The sequence below is a fragment of the Homo sapiens genome, chromosome X (genome assembly GCF_000001405.40).
Source record: "Homo sapiens chromosome X, GRCh38.p14 Primary Assembly".
Taxonomy (NCBI): domain Eukaryota; kingdom Metazoa; phylum Chordata; class Mammalia; order Primates; family Hominidae; genus Homo; species Homo sapiens.
Window position 1 is genome coordinate 76907673 of NC_000023.11, and position 23186 is coordinate 76930858.

Sequence of the window (23186 nt, forward strand, 5' to 3'; positions counted from 1 at the left end):
GGGCCTTCCCAGTCCAGCCCTGCCCATCTTTGTCTACCCCTGTGGGGCTGAGCATGGATCCAAAACATTCCTGAAAAGAGAGATGTAAAAATCCTCAACAAAATATGAGCAAACTGAATCCAGCAGCACATCAATATGCTAATTCATCCCAATCAAGTAGGCTTTATTCCTTGAATGCAAGGTTGGTTTAACATATCAATAAATATGATTCACTACATAAACAGAATTAAAAACAAAAACTATATAATCATCTCAATAGATGCAGAAAAGCTTTCGATAAAATCTAATATCCATTCATCATAAAAAGCCTCAACACACCAGCATTAATGTGCATATGCAGAGACATCTACCTCAAGCCCACAGACACCACTTCCCTGCTGATGCACATGTCCCCTGCTACACTACTACAGCCATGGCTGGCATGGCCAAGTGCACAGATACCACTGCACTGCAACCTCCAGCATGCATGTACACTCTGCATCACCACTGCTCCTGCTGGCACACATATGTGCACATAAGTGTGACTGCCTCACCTCCCCAGGCGGCCCACTGCCACCAACATACATGCGCCATGCCATACCACCACTGCTTTTGGCACGTACATGTGAATGTGAACTCTGCGGCCAATGCCCTGATTAAGTTCACTAACTGGAACTCCCCCATCAAAGTGTTGTTACCACTGGACCAGAAACACCTCAGGCCCTCCTGTGCAGCAGTTTCTTAACCTCAAGGAGCCAGGGAACAAAGCTGTGGGCTTGGAACCAGCACCCCAGTGTTAGCGCATTCAGCCAAGGAGTGCTGAGATGAGCCTTGGCCCCCTGAAATCTTCCAGAAATTAAGCAAGTCTATTTAACTCACCTAATACAACAATCAAACCCTCAAGGGCATCAAAGAATATAAAAGCAAAAAAACCATCCAAAGGACATTAATTTCAGATTAAAGGACTATCAGCCAACACAGATGAGAAAGAACCAGCACAAGAACTCTGGCATGCAAAAAGCCAGAGTGTCTCTTTACTTCCAAATGACCACACTAGTTCCAAAGCAATGATGGTTAACCAGGCTGAAATGGCTAAAATAATATACATAGAATTCAGAATCTGGATAAGAATGAAGACTTTCAAGATTCAAGGGAAAGTCAAAACCAAATCCAAGGAATCTAAGGAGCCCCATAAAATGATTCACAAGCTTAAAGATAAAATAGTCATTTTAAGAAAGAACAAGACTGAACTGATAGAGCTAATAAAAACCTACTATAAGAATTTTATAATATGATCAGAAGTATTAATAGAGGAATGGACCTAGCTGAGGAAATAATCTCAAGCTCAAAGACTGGTTCCTTCAATCAACTCAGTTATACAAAAAATAAAGAAAAAATATTTTTTTGTAAAGAAAAGAATGAACAGAACTTCCGAGAAATACAGGATTATATGAAAAAAAATAAATCTGTGACTCATTGGCATCCATGAACAAGAAGGAGAAAGAACAAGTAACTTAGAAAATATATTTGAGGATATAGTCCCCAAAAATTTCCCCAACTTCACTACAGAGGTCAACATTCAAATTCAGGAAATACAAAGATCCCCTGTGAGATACCCTACAAGATGACTATCCCCAAGACACATAGTCATCAGACTCTCGAAGGTCAACATGAAATAAAGAATATTAAGGGCAGCTAGAGAGAAGGGGCAGGTCACTTACAATGAGAATCACATCAGGCTAACAGCAGAGCTTTCAGCAGAAACCCTACAAGCCAGAAGACATTGGGAGCCTACATTTACCATTCTTAAAGAAAAGAAATTCCAACCAAAAATTTCATATCCAGCTGAACTAAGCCTTATAAGTGAAGGAGAAATAAGATCCTTTTCTGACAAGCAAATGCTAAGGAAGCTCTTTACCATGAGATCTGCCTTACAAGAGGTCCTTAAGGAGTGCTAAACCTGAAAATGAAAGACGATTGCCAGCCAACAAAGAAGCACACTTAGTGTACACAGACCATTGACAATAGAAAGCAACTACACAATCAAGTTTACATAACAACCAGCTGAAAACATGATGACTGGATGAAAGCTGCACATACCAATATTCACCTTGAATGTAAATGGACTAAATGCCCACACTTAAAAGCAGATGACAAGCTGGATAAAGAAGCAAGACTTAACTGTATGTTGTCTTCAAGAGACCTATCTCTCATACAATGATACCCATAGGCTCAAAGTAAAGAGATGGAAAAAAAGTCTACCAAGGCCAGCTGCAGTGGCTAACACCTGTATAATTCCAGCACTTTGGGAGGCTGAGGTGGGTGGATCACCTGAGGTCAAGAGTTCAAGACCAGCCTGGCCAAAATGGTGAAACCTCATCTCTACTAAAAATACAAAAATTAGCCAGGCATGGTGGCATGTGCCTGTAATCCCAGCTACTCAGGAGGCTGAGCAGAATCTCTTGAACTCAGGAGGTGGAGGTTGCAGTGAGCCGAGTTCATACCAGTGCACTCCAGCCTGGGGGATAGAGTGAGACTTTGTGTCAAAAAAAAAAAATAGTCTACCAAGCAAATAGAAAACAAAAAGAGTGGGGATTGCTATTCTAATTTCAGACAAAACAGACTTCAAACTAACAATAATCAAAAAAAGACAAGTAAGGGCATTAGATAATTATAAAGTGTTCATTTCAACAAGAAGACTTAACTAACCTAAATATATATACCTCACTGACATTACTAGATGGATCATCAAGGCAGAAAATTAACAAAGATATTTAAAACCTAAACTTGACACTTGACCAAATGAGCCTAACAGACACCTACCAAACACTCTGCCCAACAACAGAATATATATATTTTCTCATATGCACATGGCACATACTCTAAAATTGACCACATTTTTAGCCATAAAACAATTCTCAAAAAATTCAAAAAAACTAAAATCATACCAGCCATACTCTTAGACCACACCACAATAAAAACAAATCAATACTAAGAAGGTGTCTCAAAACTATACAATGACATTGAAATTAAACAATCTGCTCCTGAATGACTTCTGGATAAACAATAAAATTAAAGCAGAAATCAAGAAATTCATTAAAACTAATGACAATGAAGATACAACATAACAAAATCTCTGGGACACAGAAAAAGCAATATTAAGAGGAAACTTTGTACTGTTAAATGCCCACATGAAAAAGTTAGAAAGATCTCTAATTAACAGCCTAAACTCATAAATAGAGGAACTAGAATAACAAGGGAAAAGTAATTCAAACCTAACAGAAAAAAACTGACCAAAATCAGAGCTAAACTCAATGAAATTGAGACAAGAAAAACCACACAAAACATAAATGAAATCAAAAGTTGCTTCTGTGAAAGAACAAATAAGATTAATAGAGCAACTGCTAAACAAATCAAGAAAAGAGAGAGAGAGAATCCAAATAAACACAATCAGAAATGACAAATGGACATTACCACCAACCCCATAGAAGTATAAAAACGCTTAGAGATTTTTTTGTCTTTTTAAAATTTAATTTAATTTTAAGTTCCAGGATACATGTGCAGGATGTGCAGGTTTATTACATAGGTAAACATGTGCCATGGTGATTTGCTACACCAATCAATTGCAGCAAACCCAGGTATTAAGCCATGCATGCATTAGCTATTTATCCTGATACTCTCTAACCCCCAACCTCACCCCCAGAGACCCCAATGTGTGTTGTTCCCCTCCCTGTGTCCATATGTACTCATTGTTCAGCTTCAACGTAGAAGTGAAAATATGTGGTGTTTGGTTTTCTGTCCCTGTGTTAGTTTGCTGAGGATAATGGCTTCAGGATCCATCCATGTCCCTGCAAAGAACATGATCTCATTCTTTTTTATGGCTGCATAGTATTCCATGGTATATGTGTACCACATTTTCTTTATCTTGTCTATCATTGGTGGGCATTTGGGTTGATTCCATGTCTTTGCTATTGTGAATAGTGCTGCAGTGAACATAAGCATGCATGTCTCTTTATAATACAATGATTTTTATTCCTTTGGGTATATATGCAGTAATGGGATTGCTGGGTCAAATGGTATTTCTGCCTCTAGGTATTTGAAGAATTGCCACACTGTCTCCCACAATGGTTAAACTAATTAACATTCCCACCAACACTGTAAAAGCGTTCCTATTTCTTCACAGCTGTGCCAGCATCTGTTATTTCTTGACTTTTTAATAATTGCCATTCTGACTGGCATGAAATGGTATCTCATTGTGGCTCTGATTTCCATTTAATGATCAGTGATGTTGAGCTTTTTTTCATATGTTTGTTGGCAGCATAAATGTCTTGTTTTAAGAAGTGTGTGTTCCATGCACACATATGTTTATTGTGGCACTATTCACAATAGCAAAGACTTGGAACCAACCCAAATGTCCATCAATGATAGACTGGATTGAGAAAATGTGGCACATATACACCATGGAATACTATGCAGCCATAAAAAAGGATGAGTTCATGTATTTTGCAGGGTCATGGATGAATCTGGAAATCATCATTCTCAGCAAACTATCACAAGAACAGAAAATCAAACACCACATGTTTTCACTTATAGGTGGGAATTGAACAATGAGAACACATGGACACAGGAAGGGGAACATCACACACTGGGGCCTTCAGGGGGTAGAGGACTCGGAGAGGGACAGCATTAGGAGAAATACCTGATGTAAATGACGAGTTGATGGGTGCAGCAAACCAAAATGGCACATGTATATCTATTCAACAAATCTACATGTTGTATACATGTACCCTAGAACTTAAAGTACAATAAAAAAAGAAGTGTCTGTTCATGTCCTTTGCCCCACTTTATAATGGGGTTGTAAAACCCTTAGACATTATTACAAACACCTCTATGCACACAAACTAGAAAATATGGAAAAAATAGATAAATTCTTGAAACTTACAACCTTCCAAGATTGAACCAGGAAGAAACTGAAACCCTGAACTGACCAATAATGAGTTCTGAAACTGAATCAGTAATAAAAAGCCTATCAACAAGAAAAAAACCCTGGACCAGATGGATTCACAGACAAATTCTAAGAAACATATAAAGAAGAGCTGGTACCAATCCTACTGAAATTATTCCAAAAAACATTGAGGAGAAAAGACTTCTCCCTAACTCATTCTATGAGGCCATCATCATTCTGAAACTAAAATCTGGCAGACATAAAACAAAAAAAAGAAAACTTCAGGGCAATATCTCTAATGAATATAGGTGCAAAACTCCTCAACAATATATTATCAAACTGAATCCAGCAGCACATCAAGAACCTAATCCACCAAGATCAAGTAGGCCTTATTCTTGCAATACAAGGTTAGTTCAACATACACAGACCAATGAATATGATTCACCAAATAAAGAGAACTAAAAACATTGGCCAGGAGTGGTGGCTCATGCCTGTAATCCCAGCACTTTGGGAGGCCAAGGCGGGTGGATCATGAGGTCAAGAGACCGAGACCATCCTGGCCAATGTGGTGAAACCCTGTCTCTACTAAAAATACGAAAAAAAAAGCCCTGGGCATTGTGGAGTGTGCCTGTAGTCCCAACTACTTGGAAGGCTGAGGAAGGAGAATCACTTGAACCCGGGAGGTGGAGATCACAGTGAGCCAAGATTGCACCACTGCACCCCAGCTTGGCAACAGAGCAACACTCTGTCTCAAAAAAAAAAAAAAAAAAAACAAAAACAAAAAAAAACAACAACAAAAAAAAACGTTTTTCAATAGATGCAGAAAAGGCTTTCAATAAAATTCAACATGTCATTATGTTAAAACCCCTCAAAAAACTAGGCATTGAAGGAACATACTTCAAAATAATAAGTGCCATCTATGACAAACCCACAGCCAATGTCATACTTAACAGGCAAAGCTAGAACTATTCCTTCTTGAGAAGTGGAACAAGACAAGGATGTCCCACTCTCACCAACCCTATTCAACATAGTACTGGAAGTTGTAGCCAGAGCAATCAGACAAGAAAAAGAAATCAAAGGCCTCCAGATAGGAAGAGAGGAAATCAAACTCTCTCTCTCTCTTTGCAGTTAATATGATTTTCTATCTAGAAAAACCCATAGTCTTTGTTCAAGAGCTCCTAGATCTGATAACCAACTTCAGCAATGTTTCAGAACACAAAATCAATGTATAAAACTCAGTACCATTCCCATACACCAATAATGTCAAAACTGAGAGCCAAATCAAGAATACAATACCATTCCTAATAGCCACGAAAAGATTAAAATATCTAGAAATACACCTAACCAGGAAGATGAAAGATCTCTACAATGAGAATTATGAAACATTGCTCAAAGTAATCATAGATGGTATGAAAAAATCAAAAATCATTTCATGCTCATGTATCGGAAGAATCAATATCACTAAATTGCCATACCGCCCAAAGCAATTTAAAGATTCAACGCTATTTCTATCAAACTACCAATGTCATTTTTCACAGAATTAGAAAACATTATTCTAAAATGTATATGGAATCAAAAAAAGAGCACAAATAGTCAAAGCCATCCTAAGCAAAAAGAACAAAGCCAGTCACATCACATTAGCTGACTTCAAACTATAAGTAGCCAAAACAGCATGGTACTGGTATGAAAATGGACACATAAGCCAATGGAACAGAATTGAGAACCCAGAAGTAAAGCTACACACCTGCAGCCATATGATCCTCGACAAAGTCAACAAAAACAAGCAATGAGGAAAGGATTCCTTATTCAATAAGTGGTTCTGGGATAGCTGGCTAGCCATATGCAGAAATTAAACGTGGTCCCCTACCTTTCACCATATACAAAAATTAACTCAAACTAGATTAGAGGTTTAAATGTAAAACCTCAAGTTATAAGAATCTAGAAGAAAACCTAGGAACTACCATTCTAGGCATTGGTCTTGAGAAAGTGTCTGTGACTAGGCCCTCAATAGCAATTGCAAAGAAAACATAAATTGACAAGTGAGACCTAATTAAACTAAAGAGCTTCTGCACAACAATAGGAATCATCAATCGAGTGAACAGAAAATTTACCCAATGAGATAAAATATTTGCGAATTATGCATCCTGACAAGGGTCTAATATCCAGAATCTATAAAGAACTTAAACATTTCAACAACAACAATAACAAAGAAAACCCTATTAAAAAGTAGGCAAAAGACATGAACAGACACTTCTTAAAAGAAGACACACAAGCCACCAACAAACACACAAAAAAATGTTTTATATCACTAACCATCAGAGAAGTGCAAGTCAAAACCTCAATGAGATAGCATCTCACACCAATCAGAATGGCTATTACTGAAAAGTCAAAAAATAACAGATGCCAGTGAGGCTGCAGAGAAAAGGAAACACTTATACACTATTGGTGGGAATTTAAATTAGTTCAGTCACTGTGGGAAGCAGTTTGGATATTTGCCAAATAACTTAAAACAGAACTATCATTTGACCCAGCAATCCGATTACTGGCTATATATCCAAAGAAAAATAGATCATTATACCAAAAAGACACATGCAGTCATATGTTTATTGCCACACTATTCACAGTAGCAGAAAGATAGGACCAACGTAGGTGCCCATCAATGATGAACTGGTTAAAGAAAATATGGTACATATCTACCATGGAATACTATGAGGCTATTTTAAAAAGAAGGAAATAATGTCTTTTGCAGCAACATGAATGCACCTTTATCCTAAACAAATTAATGTAGGAACAGAGAACCTAACTCCCCATGGTCTCACTTATAAATGGGAGTGAAACATTGAGCACTCATGGACATAAAGATGGCAATAATAGACAATGAGAATTTCAAGAGGTGGGAGTGAGGGAGGTAGGGAAGAGCTGTAAAACTATCTACTGAATACTATGCTAAGTACCTGGGTGATGGGATCATTTGTGCCCCAACCCTTACAGTTTAATAACACTCTATTTATATGCTAATAGCAGTTAACAAACTGTTTAATAAATTTATTATTTTAGCAATAATTATGCAACTGTTAATATGTGCAGGGCACTATTGTGGCTGGGTAGGTGGAGGGGAAGGTGGATGAATGGGGAGAGAGGATAAAATCAGATATAAACATTACTTTCAATGAGCTTAACATCTAGTAGACCGGATTACTGGTGAAAAATACAGGACAAACCATTGATGCCAAAGATCATTTACCAAGCTAGGTATAATGAGAAGCATGGCTTACCCTCCTGAGAAAAAGGAATAAAACCAACTTTTCCAATAAATCTTAAATTTACCCAGTGGTTTGCTACATAACGAAAAGTGTTTCTCTCCTCCTTTCAGTTTTTGTTGGCATACCACCACCTACTCTGTGGCTGGCTTGCAGGCTGTCATAGTGAATGACGGCCTCCAAATGCCACCGTCCCTTGGGCCCATTAGTCATGAGCACTGTTCAGTAGAGAAAATAGATTTGAAAATGCTTTCCTAAGGACTCTGGTATTTGTTGATGATATCCAATCTAAAGAATATCTATAACGATTGCTCTCTCTCTGCTGGAACTTCAGAGCTCTCTAATTTCCCTGAATTGCCAAAAAAAATGCTATTAGCATTTGGCAGAAGGGTCAAAACAGTACTATGTAAATAAGTTTTTGTTTGTGACCTTTCAAAGTTCAATCGGCTTTACTAGCAGGAATATACTATCTTGCCTTCCATCAACTGGACTGTTAATCTTAAAAAAAATAACTCCTTCCTATGTTTGGAAATCATTTGTACCTTATAGTCCTCTTTCTCGATATGAAAACATCCAAGGTGTTGTGATGAGGTTTCCAATTTGATTAGAAACAATTTCTTGGAGTCCTATTTTTAAAAACCATGAAGTACACATGAACTGAGTACATGGAATGTAATCTAAATTTGCCTTAATGTTTCAAGGTTACTATTATAAAAATGAATCACTGTACTATGCTGTGCTACTCTTAAGGGTAATTAAGGTATGCAGGAAAGTTATCCCCTAAGCTGATTCCTGATTGCTGTTCTTTAATAATTTTCTCCACATTTATCTTACCCTCACTGCAAGACATGGGGGTGGGGGGAGGAGGGAGGTATAGCATTAGGAGATATACCTAATGCTAAATGACGAGTTAATGGGTGCAGCACACCAGCATGGCACATGTATACATATGTAACTAACCTGCACATTGTGCACATGTAGCCTAAAACTTAAAGTATAATAATAAAAAAAGACATTTCTTCTTGTTGCTATCATCAGAGCTGACTCCAAATAAAATGACTGCTTTCTTGTCTAAAATGGATTAACCAGTTACCTTCTTAACTAATTCAGCTAAAAGGTTAATGAATAAAAACAGTTTAATATCCTTGCCTTAAATAAAACTAAACTCTTCTCCTAAGCTATATTCTCAGCCTTTACCACTTCTCAAAATAACAAATTCCAAGTGCTCATCACCCCTTTCATTTTCCTAAATTTACTTGAAATTTTGGTATTCAGGAATATAGCTAGTCCAGTAAACAAATCCAAGTCCACCTGATCCACCCTTTTACAGACTTCAGTGATACCCCTTTTACTTTTGTCTTTCTGAATAACAAGCACCCATCTTTTTAGACTATCCTCATATGATGTTTTATATGACATGTTTCTTACGTAATATCTCTCGCTACTAGTATTTTTGTTGCCATTATTCCCTTCCCACACCATATTTCTTTTCTTTTTCAGAATCAATGCATCATTCCTCAAGCATAGTAGCAACGTATTTGGTCAATGGTTCTCTGTACTAAAAAGTCCAAAGTATATTAGTGTCCTTCACTTGACACTTAGTAGATACCACCTTGCATCATTCTTTATCCTTGTATCATCAATAGCAGCCAATATTGAATATTTAGTAGGTGAGGCACACAGAGGGGAAGGAGCATCCATTTTCCAAGGCACTATTAATTTCAAATAGGCTACCTACATTTTCAGATAATGTATTCCAACTTTTAGTTTGGAAAATATGGTCACCATAGGTGAAAAAATCATACATGAAACTATCATACATAAAAAGTATATACAGTATATAATTAGATTGGCAAAACTCAGTGCTAGAGACAAAATGAACTTAAAGGGCTGGAGGAGTTTTTTGTTATTTTTTTTTTAAAGATGGGCCAGGCCAGCGCGGTGGCTCAAGCCTGTAATCCCAGCACTTTGGGAGGCCAAGGCTGGCAGATCACGAGGTCAGGAGATCGAGACCATCCTGGCTAACACGGTGAAACTCCGTGTCTACTAAAAATACAAAAAATTAGCCGCACATGGTGGCGGGCGTCTGTAGTCCCAGCTATTTGGGAGCCTGAGGCAGGAGAATGGCGTGAACCCGGGAAGCAGAGATCGTGCCATTGCACTCCAGCCTGGGCGACAGAATGAGACTCCGTCTCAAAAAAAATAAAAAAGAAAAAAGAAAAAAGAAAAAAAATAAAAGATAGGCCAGTCTGACCCAAAGCAACTAGAGGAGTTTCACAAAGAAAAGACATCTGAGCTGGTCCCTGACAGTTGAGTCATCTCTGGATACAGTAGAGATGAAAATGGGAGTGAGGTTTCTCATCTGAGCAGGTTTAAGCACCCATTTATATGACTGTCAAATATTGCTCAACAGCATCTTACAACATCAGTCAATTCCTTGGCACCTATAATAGATTCTGATGTCAATTGTTAGAAGGCCCTGCCTAATAAATCAGAGGTTTACCCCTTGGTTCCACATCCCATGTTGCTAGCTCATTCCCTGGCCTCATTTTACTGGGCTTCCTGAGATGGTCCAGTTACATTAGTCAATCAGAAGTTAACCAAAATGGCTTAATTGTTGGAATGGACTGGAGATACTCCAGCCTGAGAGAGAAAAGAATTCCAGTCGGTGATGCAATATGATCTTAACTCTCAAAGGCTAAACTAATTCAACATTTTTCTTCTTCATCTCCAAATTGTCGGGGATGATTATATAGAGATAACCTATAATAGACAATGTTGACATAAACCAATGTGTAGATCATTTCAAAATAGTAAATGAAAATAAGATAAATACAGATGGGAATCAAATATATAGATAAAACAATTACACCATGTGCATACTCAGGCCCATTAACAGGGAGGTGAGCAGGGAAAGGCAAGGAAGTTTCATGTTGACACAGAGGAGGTTGGTACAATTTATTGGGTTTCTTTTGAGTAGCCTAGGAAAACTTGGAGGAGTTAGGATATTAAAAACTGCTTACATGGAGTCGAGTAAGGTAGGGAAAAGGAAAGGAAGCTTGAGCTAAAGCTTGTGAACAGGAATAAGAAAATTTGGATGGGGCTTTAGAGGATCTGATAAACAAGCTTCCCTTTATATCTGTTTGTTGGTTTCTTTTATTTCTAGTGCCTCTTAAAATGAGCGTGTTCAAAGCCCTGAATCACCAAACAGCTAGTAAAAATTCAGGAATTTGTGAGAGCTATAAAAATTAAGTAGCATTATTATTACTAGAATTATGATTAATATGTAGACATATAAACAGACAAATAAGTAGAATTGCTAAAACAAATGTTGCAATCCAAAGATGTCATAGAGATGGCCAGTTAGCATCTTGAAGGTTTCCTATGTATTTCAGGCATCTTGTTATTTGCATATATGTTACAGGCATTATGAACAATTTCTAGGAATGACTTATGAACATTATACATATTGTCTAGGAATTGTTTAAAATTCCTGATTTAACATTCTGCCTATAACATAAATACTAGTTAAAAGGCAAGGAACTTGATCATACACTGGCATCAAATCAGAAGGCACTATTTCTGCAGGCCTGACATATAACCAGATAATTGATTATCTATAAAAAATGTAATACAGCATAGGTAATAGCCAAATAACTATACTGTATTTTTTAAGACGCATGTGTAGAAGACTACATAAAGTAAATGAAAGAATGTAAGTGCAAAGAAAATTTTGATTCAGTCCTTTTTAAAGAAAGTTATAAAACTTCTTATTGAGTTGTACAACCATAAGTCCAAACATATGATACATATTTAAAAATCTAACATTTTACAACGTGAAATACCAACATGATGGCTATATTGAAAGTAAGAACATGCTTCCTTCTGGCAATGAGCCCAAGATATCACTGCTTGGCTGTTGTTAACAAAGATGATGATGATGGCTGGTGATGGCTATAGCATATCTCTGGATTAGGAGCTGATTAGATTAGCTTAGTGCCTTCAGAGACTAATATCATGTCCCTTGTGGACGAGTTTGCATATGCCATGTTCCATTCACAGATTAAGACTGGTTTAGGCCAGCTAGCTTGCAAATACATGCCATAGGGTTTTGTTTTCAAGTGTGGGAACTGAAACCCAGAGATCTACAGTGGCTTGAGCTAGGGCACATAGCAAACTAATGAAGGGAAGAAGAGCTTCGTTCTCAGATGAGGAAAATCAAATATCAGGTCCCTGCATGCTCTGGCATTTACCCTTTTCCAAGCTAAAATTGCAGTCCTGGAATCTTTCTCCATGGTCTGACCACCTTCTTCTTAGGCTAGAAAATCATGACCCTGAGGCCCTCTTCAACTCTCCATCTAATTTGGGAATAGCCCCCACTGCCTGTATTAGAAATAGCAGCAGCAACAGTACTACTACTACTACATAGCATGCAGTATGGTGACCCTTTATATGTGATATCTCTTTTAGTTCCTTTCACAAACCCATCAAGTAAGCAATGTTATTATCTTAATTTTATAAATAAAGAAACTGAGGTTTGAAGAAGTTAAGTCACCCAGTTAGTCAGGGATCTAAGCCTTTACCTGCCCAACTCTGAAGCCCAGACTCTGAAGTACAACAATATGTTTCTTTCTCAGCATTGTGTACTGCTCTCTGCCACATCCTTCTCCTAACCCACAATAAACCTGCAAGAAAAATCTGAAGAGCCATCATAATTCAAACTTTAAAGTGATTTGGTATCACTTACAGCACTCAATAATAATGGCTGAAAAGCAACACAATCCTAGAGAATGACCATCTGTTTTAAGAGCTTAAGTGGGTATGTTTTTCTGGAATATCCCCTTAGAAATGTTTTTTGAACATTTGTTCAAACAAGTTGAAGTCTGGACACCCTCTGATGCCTTTCTCAACTGGTTAAATGCCAAGTATGACATAATCTTTCTGCATGTGGTTTGAGTTAGGTGGAAGTATTGTACGTGCCTGAGACACTGGGCAAGCCCTCCAGAGATGCTTCTAGATCCAGCCAAGAAGGCCCACTGAGGAGATGGCAGCCCTAGAATGATGGGGCTGAGATCAGTAATAGGCTGAGTAATCCTATAAGCCCCATTTAGGGGGCATCCTTCACCTGACAACTAGGACATTTGTGTTCTCCTAGTATTTAGGATATTCTCTCATCTTTGGGACAGGTCCCAGAAATGCCCAGTGGACTTTTCTTGCCTTGTGACTTAAGAGTTTCAGGGGCTCTGACCTTAAACCACTAGGCCAGCATTGCTGTGGCCTTACTTTCCTGCCACAAGTCACCTGAGCTCCACCTGCTGTACCATGAAATCATTAGGGAACTGATTAATGTCTTTAAAAGGTGCCTCCTAGTGCACATAACTGGAAGGTACTACAATCCCAGACAGTTTTACAGTTTTGGCAGAATGGAAATATTCTCTGTGGATAGATTGAATGTCACCTCTTGGCAAGGGTTTGTGGGAGATGGCTGCAGGGCCCTTCAGCAAAGCTGCCATGTGGCCAAGTCCATGTGATTGATGGGAACATGACTGTGGGAAGAGGCCAATGCTGGTAATGATGGGAGATACTTAAACCTAAGGGAAATCCCTGAATCCCCAACATCTGTGAGATGGATCAGATGAGGCTAGAGGACAAAAAGCAACAGAAAAACATTCAGCTGATATAAGTATCTAATAAAAGAAGCAAAGAAGATTAAATCTTATGGGGTTGTTGTCATAGGAAAATTATAGGTGTCAGGTCTGTTTTAACGTTCAAATTAGCAGGTAAAATATACAATGGGAGTGTTTCAAAGTTTGACACTAATGTAAGTACGGGAGAATCTTTCACTAGGCTACTTTGTACTTCTGAAATTGCCTCCAACTATTCCAGGAAATTGCACAAGTTGATGCTGTTCCTTGTAACTGAGAATGCTATTCTTTCTCTACCTCCCTCTATGCAAAATGCACCCATACCACTGAAAATTGACAATGTAATCTCCCCATACACTTGGTCTAATACTAAGGGTAGAAAAAGAAACTAAGCTAAAGGCTTCTGCAGATTTTTATTGATTGAAGATGACAAGGTTTAAAGGGAATGGATGAGATATGTTAATATAGTATTTAGAATGGGAAGTCATGAAGGCCTAAATGAGAGTGGTGGCAGTAAGTATGGAAAGGGGTTGCTGATTGTGAGAAAGATTATAAAGGAATATCCATAGAACTTGGCAACTGACTGGATTTAGCAGGGCAATGGAAGATTCAGAGATATTGCCAAGATTATTATTCTTAGTGATCAGGAAAAAATAGTGGTGCCAGTAACAGAAGGAAAGGGGTCTGGGAGGGAAGATAAATGAGTTTGAGGTGTCAAATCGAGAGATAGAACAGGCACTGTGAAATTCTGAGGATAGAGATTTGGGCTAAAGATAAAATTTCAGGCAGGCATCACTTGCGCAATCCTTCACCTAAGTCCAAACCTGCTAATTTCCAGTCCCTACAAGTGAAGACCACATACAAAGGCTATTTGAAACTTCCAGCTTCTCCCTGTTTGTTGCTAGTCCTCCCCACTTCCCAAATTTTTCTGCTCTCTAATTATCTTCAGAACCTTACAGTGGAGAAACCTAGTTGACCTCTTTGTCTACTCCAAGCATTTATTGTAAATGTATAATTTTAAGACTGGTTCTTCATATTCCCAAGCACATGTCATTTATGAGTAATAAGTGATCCATACTGATTACATTGATCAAACTTTCAATTGCTTTGATAATTATTTATACTGATAAAGAAATTGATATACATGAGGAAAACCTAGAAAGAAAAGATCAGATAAGTGCTACAGAATTATGGCGACTCTAGTTTCTGAAGCAAAAATTGTTCATTGACTCCTGTTGAAAAAAAAAAAAACTTTGATATTCTGAAGTCCTTTTTGATTGAATGGGGCAATTTTGGAGATGTAATTGGAATGGTGAAACATTGCAATTTTCCAGATATTTGGATTGTTTCTAGGGACAAAAGGACAGAGTATTTATCCTGGAAACTCTGGGAAGTGCATAGAGTAGAAAACTAGTAACACAAAGCATACCTCTTTATTTTTTCTTCCTTAGACGGAATCTCACTCTGTCGCCCAGGCTGCAGTACAGTGGCACCATGTCTGTTCACTGCAAGTTTCACCTCCCAGCTTCATGCCGTTGTCCTGCCTCAGCCTCCTGAGTAGCTGGGACTACAGGCGCCCGCCACCACACCTGGCTAATTTTTTTATATTTTTAGTAGAGACGGGGTTTCACCGTGTTAACCAGGATGGTCTCGATCTCCTGACCTAGTGATTAGCCTGCCTCAGCCTCCCAAAGTGCTGGGATTACAGTCGTGAGCCACTGCACCCGGCCACATACCTCATGTTTTTGTACTCTAAAATTGTTTATTAAAATTATTCTATATTATATAACTTCCAGGTTAGGATGCCTAACAGTCTTGATATTTGCTTCCTCTCTAAAGAACTTGAGGACACAAAAGTATCGAAGGTCAGAGTGAGTCAGAACCTTGGAGATCAATAAATTGAACCACTTTTTTCCATATAAAGAAACTGAGGACCAGACCTAAGAAATGGCTTGCCAAAGGTTACACAGCAAGTCAATGGCAGAACTAGGACTAGAATCCAGGTATCCTGATCTCCAAACTTCCATTTGGGCAACAGCCCCTCCTCTCCTTCTTCACATCTCCTTCCTGCCCTTGGCCTTGGAAATCCCTAGAGAAATGGGGCTCGCCATTAAGAGGACACAGTGCAAAAGTATGGAGCCCCCAATGCCCATCATCTCAAATTTCCGTGCTATATAGCAGCATCACTCCCTCCCCTCACCCAAGTATCTTTTCCTCTTCTCAGCTGAAACATCTACACCTCTGTTACAGCAAGTGTCTTAGCGTCAAATGGGACATCAAGGGGAAACACAGGTGAAACCTGGGTACCTGTTATTCCCAGAATTTCATTCTCAGATGCCTAAAACTTAAGACCTTTGCACACATCCATCCTGCTGAAATGTCAGCACACTTCCTGCTTTCCATGTTTTCCTGCTTTCCATGATTTTTTTTTTTTTTAAATTGTTGAAAAGACCAAACCTCCTGCTCAGGGGCAGAGACTCACTACTGGGAGAAAAAGTATTGATGGGCATATCTCATTCCTTAAAGTTTGTTAAACTCCTTCCCTATGGTAAAGAAAGAAAATAATATTACATTTGTATATGCTACAAGAAGTGACTTGATCAAAATCAATACAACAGAAGACTTAGAACCCAAAATTTACACTTCCCATGAAAAAGATCCATTTTCTGTTTTGTACTGCCTCCCAAGGCTGTTAGAGAAATTAGTGGTCAGAAATGGAGCAGGGGTGGACCCCATTCCCTCATGTATGGTTTCTTTATGTGGAGCAAGCTTCTATAGTTCTATTCATCATGCATGACACTTTAAAATTTTCCCCTCTGAGACTATTAGCTTGTAAGCTGCTTAAAGAAGGACCCATAGGCTGGCAGCCAAGATGGCTGAATAGCAACAGCTCTGGTCTACAGCTCACAGCATGAGCGATGCGGAAGACGGGTGATTTCTGCATTTCCATCTGAGGTACTGGGTTCATCTCACTAGGGAGTGCCAGACAGTGGGTGCAGGACAGTGGGTGCAGTGCACTGTGCACGAGCTGAAGCACGGCGAGACATTGCCTTACTTGGGAAGTGCAAGGGGTCAGGGAGTTCCCTTTCCTATTCAAAGAAAGGGGTGACAGACAGCACCTGGGAAATTGGGTCACTCCCACCCTAATACTGCACTTTTCCAATGGGCTTAAAAAATGATGCACCAGGAGATTATATCGCGCACCTGGCTCAGAGAGTCCTACACTCATGGAGTCTCGCTGATTGCTAGCACAGCAGTCTGAGATCAAACTGCAAGGCGGTAGCGAGGTTGGGGGAGGGGCGCCCGCCATTGCCAAGGCTTCCTTAGGTAAACAAAGCAGCCAGGAAGCTTAAACTGGGTGGAGCCCACCACAGCTCAAGGAGATCTGCCTGCCTGCCTCTGTAGGCTCCACCACTGGGGGCAGGGCACAGACAAACAAAAAGACAGCCATAACCTCTGCAGACTTAAATGTCCCTGACTGACAGCTTTGAAGAGAGCAGTGGTTCTCCCAGCATGCAGCTGGAGATCTGAGAATGGGCAGACAGCCTCCTCAAGTGGGTCCCTGACCCCTGAACCCGAGTAGCCTAACTGGGAGGCACCCCCCAGTAGGGGCAGACTGACACCTCATACGGCCATGTACTCCTCTGAGACAAAATTTCCAGAGGAATGATCAGACAGCAGCATTTGCGGTTCATGAAAATTCGCTGTTCTGCAGGCACCGCTGCTGATACCCAGGCAAACAGGGTCTGGAGTGGACCTCTAGCAAACTCCAACAGACCTGCAGCTGAGGGTCCTGTCTGTTAGAAGGAAAATTAACAAACAGAAAGGACATCCACACCAAAAACCCATCTATACATCACCATCATCAAAGACCAAAAGTAGATAAAACCACAAAGATGGGGAAAAAACAGAGCAGAAAAACTGGAAACTCTAAAAAGCAGAGCAACTCTCCTCCTCCAAAGGAATGCAGCTCCTCACGAGCAATGGAACAAAGCTGGATGGAGAATGACTTTGACAAGTTGAGAGAAGAAGGCTTCAGACGATCAAACGAATCCGAGCCACAGGAGGAAATTCAAACCAAAGGCAAAGAAGTTAAAAACTTTGAAAAAAATTAAGACGACTGTATAACTAGAATAACCAATACAGAGAAGTGCTTAAAGGAGCCAATGGAGCTGAAAGCCAAGGCTCAAGAACTACGTGAAGAATGCAGAAGCCTCAGGAGCCGATGCGATCAACTGGAAGAAAGGGTATCAGTGATGGAAGATGAAATGAATGAAATGAAGTGAGAAGGGAACTTTAGAGAAAAAGGAATAAAAAGAAACGAACAAAGCCTCCAAGAAATATATAGGACTATGTAAAAAGACCAAATCTATGTCTGATTGGTGTACCTGAAAGTGACGGGGATAATGGAACCAAGTTGGAAAACACTCTGCAGGATATTATCCAGGAGAACTTCCCCAATCTAGCAAGGCAGGCCAACATTCAGATTCAGGAAATACAGAGAACACCACAAAGATACCCCTCAAGAAGAGCAACTCCAAGACACAAAATTGTCAGATTTACCAAAGTTGAAATGGAGAAAAAAATGTTAAGGGCAGCCAGAGAGAAAGCTCGAGTTACCCACAAAGGGAAGTCCATCAGACTAACAGCGGATCTCTCGGCAGAAACTCTATAAGCCAGAAGAGAGTGGGGGCCAATATTCAACATTCTTAAAGAAAAGAATTTTCAACCCAGAATTTCATATCCAGCCAAACTAAGCTTCATAAGTGAAGGAGAAATAAAATACTTTACAGACAAGCAAATGCTGAGAGATTTTGTCACCACCAGGCCTGCCCTAAAAGACCTCCTGAAGGAAGCACTAAACATGGAAAGGAAAAACCAGTACCAGCCACTGCAAAATCATGCCAAATTGTAAAGACCATCAAGGCTAGGAAGAAACTGCATCAACTAACGAGCAAAATAACCAGCTAACATCATAATGACAGGATCAAATTCACACATAACAGTATTAACTTTAAATGTAAATGGACTAAATGCTCCAATTAAAAGACACAGACTGGCAATTTGGATAAAGAGTCAAGACCCATCAGTGTGCTGTATTCAGGAAACCCATCTCATGTGCAGAGACACACACAGGCTCAAAATAAAAGGATGGAGGAAGATCTACCAAGCAAAAGGAAAACAAAAAAGACAGGGGTTGCAATCCTAGTCTCTGATAAAACAGACTTTAAACCAACAAAGATCAAAAGAGACAAAGAAGGCCATTACAAAATGGTAAAGCGATCAATTCGACAAGAAGAGCTGACTATCCTAAATATATATGCACACAATACAGGAGCACCCAGATTCATAAAGCAAGCCCTCAGTGACCTACAAAGAGACTTAGACACCCACACAATAATGAGGGAGACTTTAACACCCCACTGTCAATATTAGACAGATCAATGAGACAGAAAGTTAACAAGGATATCCACGAATTGAACTCAGCTCTGCACAAAGTGGAACTAATAGGCATCTACAGAACTCTCCACCCCAAATCAACAGAATATACATTTTTTTCAGCACCACACCACACCTATTCCAAAATTGACCACATAGTTGGAAGTAAAGCTCTCCTCAGCAAATGTAAAAGAACAGAAATTATAACAAACTGTCAGACCACAGTGCAATCAAACTAGAACTCAGGATTAAGAAACTCACTCAAAATCACTCAACTACATGGAAACTGAACAACCTACTCCTGAATGACTATTGGGTACATATTGAAATGATGGCAGAAATAAAGATGTTCTTTGAAACCAACGAGAACAAAGACACAACATAGCAGAATCTCTGGGACACATTCAAAGCAGTGTGTAGAGGGAAATTAATACCACTAAATGCCCACAAGAGAAAGCAAGAAAGATCCAAAATTGACACGCTAACATCACCATTAAAAGAACTAGAAAAGCAAGAGCAAACACATTCAAAAGCTAGCAGAAGGCAAGAAATAACTAAAATCAGAGCAGAACTGAAGGAGATAGAGACACAAAAAACCCTTCAAAAAATTAATGAATCCAGGAGCTGGTTTTCTGAAAGGGTCAAAAAAATTGATAGACCATTAGCAAGACTAATAAAGAAGAAAAGAGAGAAGAATCAAATAGACGCAATAAAAAATGATAAAAGGGATATCACCACCAATCCCACAGAAATACAAACTACCATCAGAGAACACTACAAACACCTCTATGCTAATAAACTAGAAAATCTAGAAGAAATGGATAAATTCTTTGACACATACACCCTCCCAAGATTAAACCAGGAAGAAGTTGAATCTCTGAATAGACCAATAACAGGCTCTGAAATTGTGGCAATAATCAATAGCTTACCAACAAAAAGAGTCCAGGACCTGATGGATTCACAGCCGAATTCTACAAGAGATACAAGGAGGAGCTGGTACCATTCCTTCTGAAATTTTTCCAATCAACAGAAAAAGAGGGAATCCTCCCTAATTCATTTTATGAGGCCAGCATCATCCTGATACCAAAGCTGGGCAGAGACACAACCAAAAAAGAGAATTTTAGACCACTGTCCTTGATGAACATTGACGCAAAAATCCTCAATAAAATACTGGCAAACCGTATTCAGCTGCACATCAAAAAGCTTATCCACCATGATCAAGTGGGCGTCATCCCTGGGATGCAAGGCTGGTTCAACATACACCAATCAATAAATGTAATCCAGCATATAAAGAGAACTAAAGACAAAAACCACATGATTATCTCAATAGATGCAGAAAAGGCCTTTTAAAAATTCAACAACTCTTCATGCTAAAAACTCTCAATAAATTAGGTATTGATGGGTCGTATCTCAAAATAATAAGAGCTATCTATGACAAACCCACAACCAATATCATACTGAAAGGGCAAAAACTGGAAGCATTCCCTTTGAAAACTGGCACAAGACCGGGATGCCCTTTCTCACCACTCCTATTCAACATAGTGTTGGAATTTCTGGCCAGGGCAATCAGGCAGGAGAAGGAAATAAAGGGTATTCAATTAGGAAAAGAGGAAGTCAAATTGTTCTTGTTTGCAGATGACATGATTGTATATCTAGAAAACCCCATTGTCTCAGCCCAAAATCTCCTTAAGATGATAGGCAACTTCAGCAAAGTCTCAGGATACAAAATCAATGTACAAAAATCACAAGCATTCTTATACACCAACAACAGACAAACAGAGATCAAAATCATGAGGAAACTCCCATTCACAATTGCTTCAAACACAATAAAATACCTAGGAATCCAACTTACAAGGGACACGAAGGACCTCTTCAAGGAGAACTACAAACCACTGCTCAATGAAATAAAAGAGGATACAAACAAATGGAAGAACATTCCATGCTCATGGGTAGGAATAATCAATATTGTGAAAATGGCCATACGGACCAAGGTTATTTATAGATTCAATACCATCCCCATCAAGCTACCAATGACTTTCTTCATAGACTTGGAAAAAACTACTTTAAAGTTCACATGGAACCAAAAAAGAGCCCGCATCGCCAAGTCAATCCTAAGCCAAAAAACAAAGCTGGAGGCATCACGCTACCTGACTTCAAACTATACTACAAGACTACAGTAACCAAAACAGCATGATACTGGTACCAAAACAGAGATATATATCAATGGAACAGAACAGAGCCCTCAGAAATAACGCTGCATATCTACAACTATCTGATCTTTGACATACCTGAGAAAAACAAGAAATGGGGAAAGGATTCCCTATTTAATAAATGGTGCTGGGAAAACTGGCTAGCCAGATGTAGAAAGCTGAAACTGGATCCCTTCCTTACACCTTATACAAAAATCAATTCAAGTTGGATTAAAGACTTAAACGTTAGACCTAAAACCATAAAAACCCTAGAAGAAAACTTAGGCATTACCATTCAGGACATAGGCATGGGCAAGGTCTTCATGTCTAAAACACCAAAAGCAATGGCAACAAAAGCCAAAATTGACAAATGAGATCTAATTAAACTAAAGAGCTTCTACACAGCAAAAGAAACTACCATCAGAGTGAACTAGCAACCTACAAAATGGGAGAAAATTTTTGCAATCTACTCATCTGACAAAGGGCTAATATCCAGAATCTACAATGAACTCAAACAAATTTACAAGAAAAAAATAAACAACCCCATCAAAAAGTGGGTGAAGGAAATGAGCAGACACTTCTTAAAAGAAGACATTTATGCAGCCAAAAAGCACATGAAAAAATGCTCATCATCACTGGCCATCAGAGAAGTGCAAATCAAAACGACAGTGAGATACCATCTCACACCAGTTAGAATGGCGATGATTAAAAAATCAGGAAACAACAGATGTGGAGAGGATGTGGGAAATAGTAACACTTTTACACTGTTGGTGGGACTGTAAACTAGTTCAACCATTTTGGAAGTCAGTGTGGCGATTCCTCAGGGATCTAGAACTTGAAATACCATTTGACCCAGCCATCCCATTACTGGGTATATACCCAAAGGATTACAAATCATGTTGCTATAAAGACACATGCACACATATGTTTAGTGTGGCACTATTCACAATAGCAAAGACTTGGAACCAACTCAAGTGTCCAAAAATGATAGACTGGATTAAGAAAATGTGGCACATATACACCATGGAATACTATGCAGCCATAAAAAGTGATGAGTTCATGTCCTTTGTAGGGACATGGACAAAATTGGAAATCATCATTCTCAGCAAACTATAGCAAGGACAAAAAACCAAACACTGCATGTTCTCACTCATAGGTGGGAATTGAACAATGAGAACACATGGACACAGGAAGGGGAACATCACACTCTGGGGACTGTTGTGGGGTCGGGGGAGGGGGGAGGGATAGCATTAGGAGATACACCTAATGCTAAATGACGAGTTAATGGGTGCAGCACACCAGCATGGCAGATGTATACATATGTAACTAACCTGCACATTTTGCACATGTACCGTAAAACTTAAAGTAGAATAATAATAAAATTAAAAAATAAAAAAAAGAGAAGGAACTGTAGAGCCAGACATGGTGGTACATGCCTGTATTCCTAGCTACTCAGGAGGATGAGGCAGGAGGAACTCTTGAGCCCAGAAGTTCAAGGTTGCAGTGTACTGCGATAGTGCCTGTGAATAGCTGCTGAACTACAGCCTGGAAAGCAATAGAGAGACTTACATTCCCAAAATTTTGAAAAAAGAGAAAGGCCTGTATAGATTCATCTGTCTATCTCTGGGGCCTAGCATGTGGCCATCAAATACGATGCAATCACTCAAATACATGTATATGACACTCTACTAAAAGAGTGATAAAAGAGTGAATGTAATAGAAGATTAGA

The 23186-nt window shown here is 39.1% G+C and overlaps 1 long non-coding RNA gene and 1 other non-coding gene across 8 annotated transcripts in view; both read right to left on the reverse strand.

Moving 5' to 3' along the window:
- MIR325HG (MIR325 host gene) overlaps positions 1–23186 on the reverse strand; it is a 356735-nt gene that overhangs the window by 249875 nt on the left and 83674 nt on the right. The gene's annotated exons all lie outside the window — the stretch shown is intronic.
- On the reverse strand, positions 11601–11688 carry MIR384 (microRNA 384). Its single transcript, NR_029909.1, has one exon. It is a non-coding gene; the product is annotated as a microRNA 384 (primary transcript).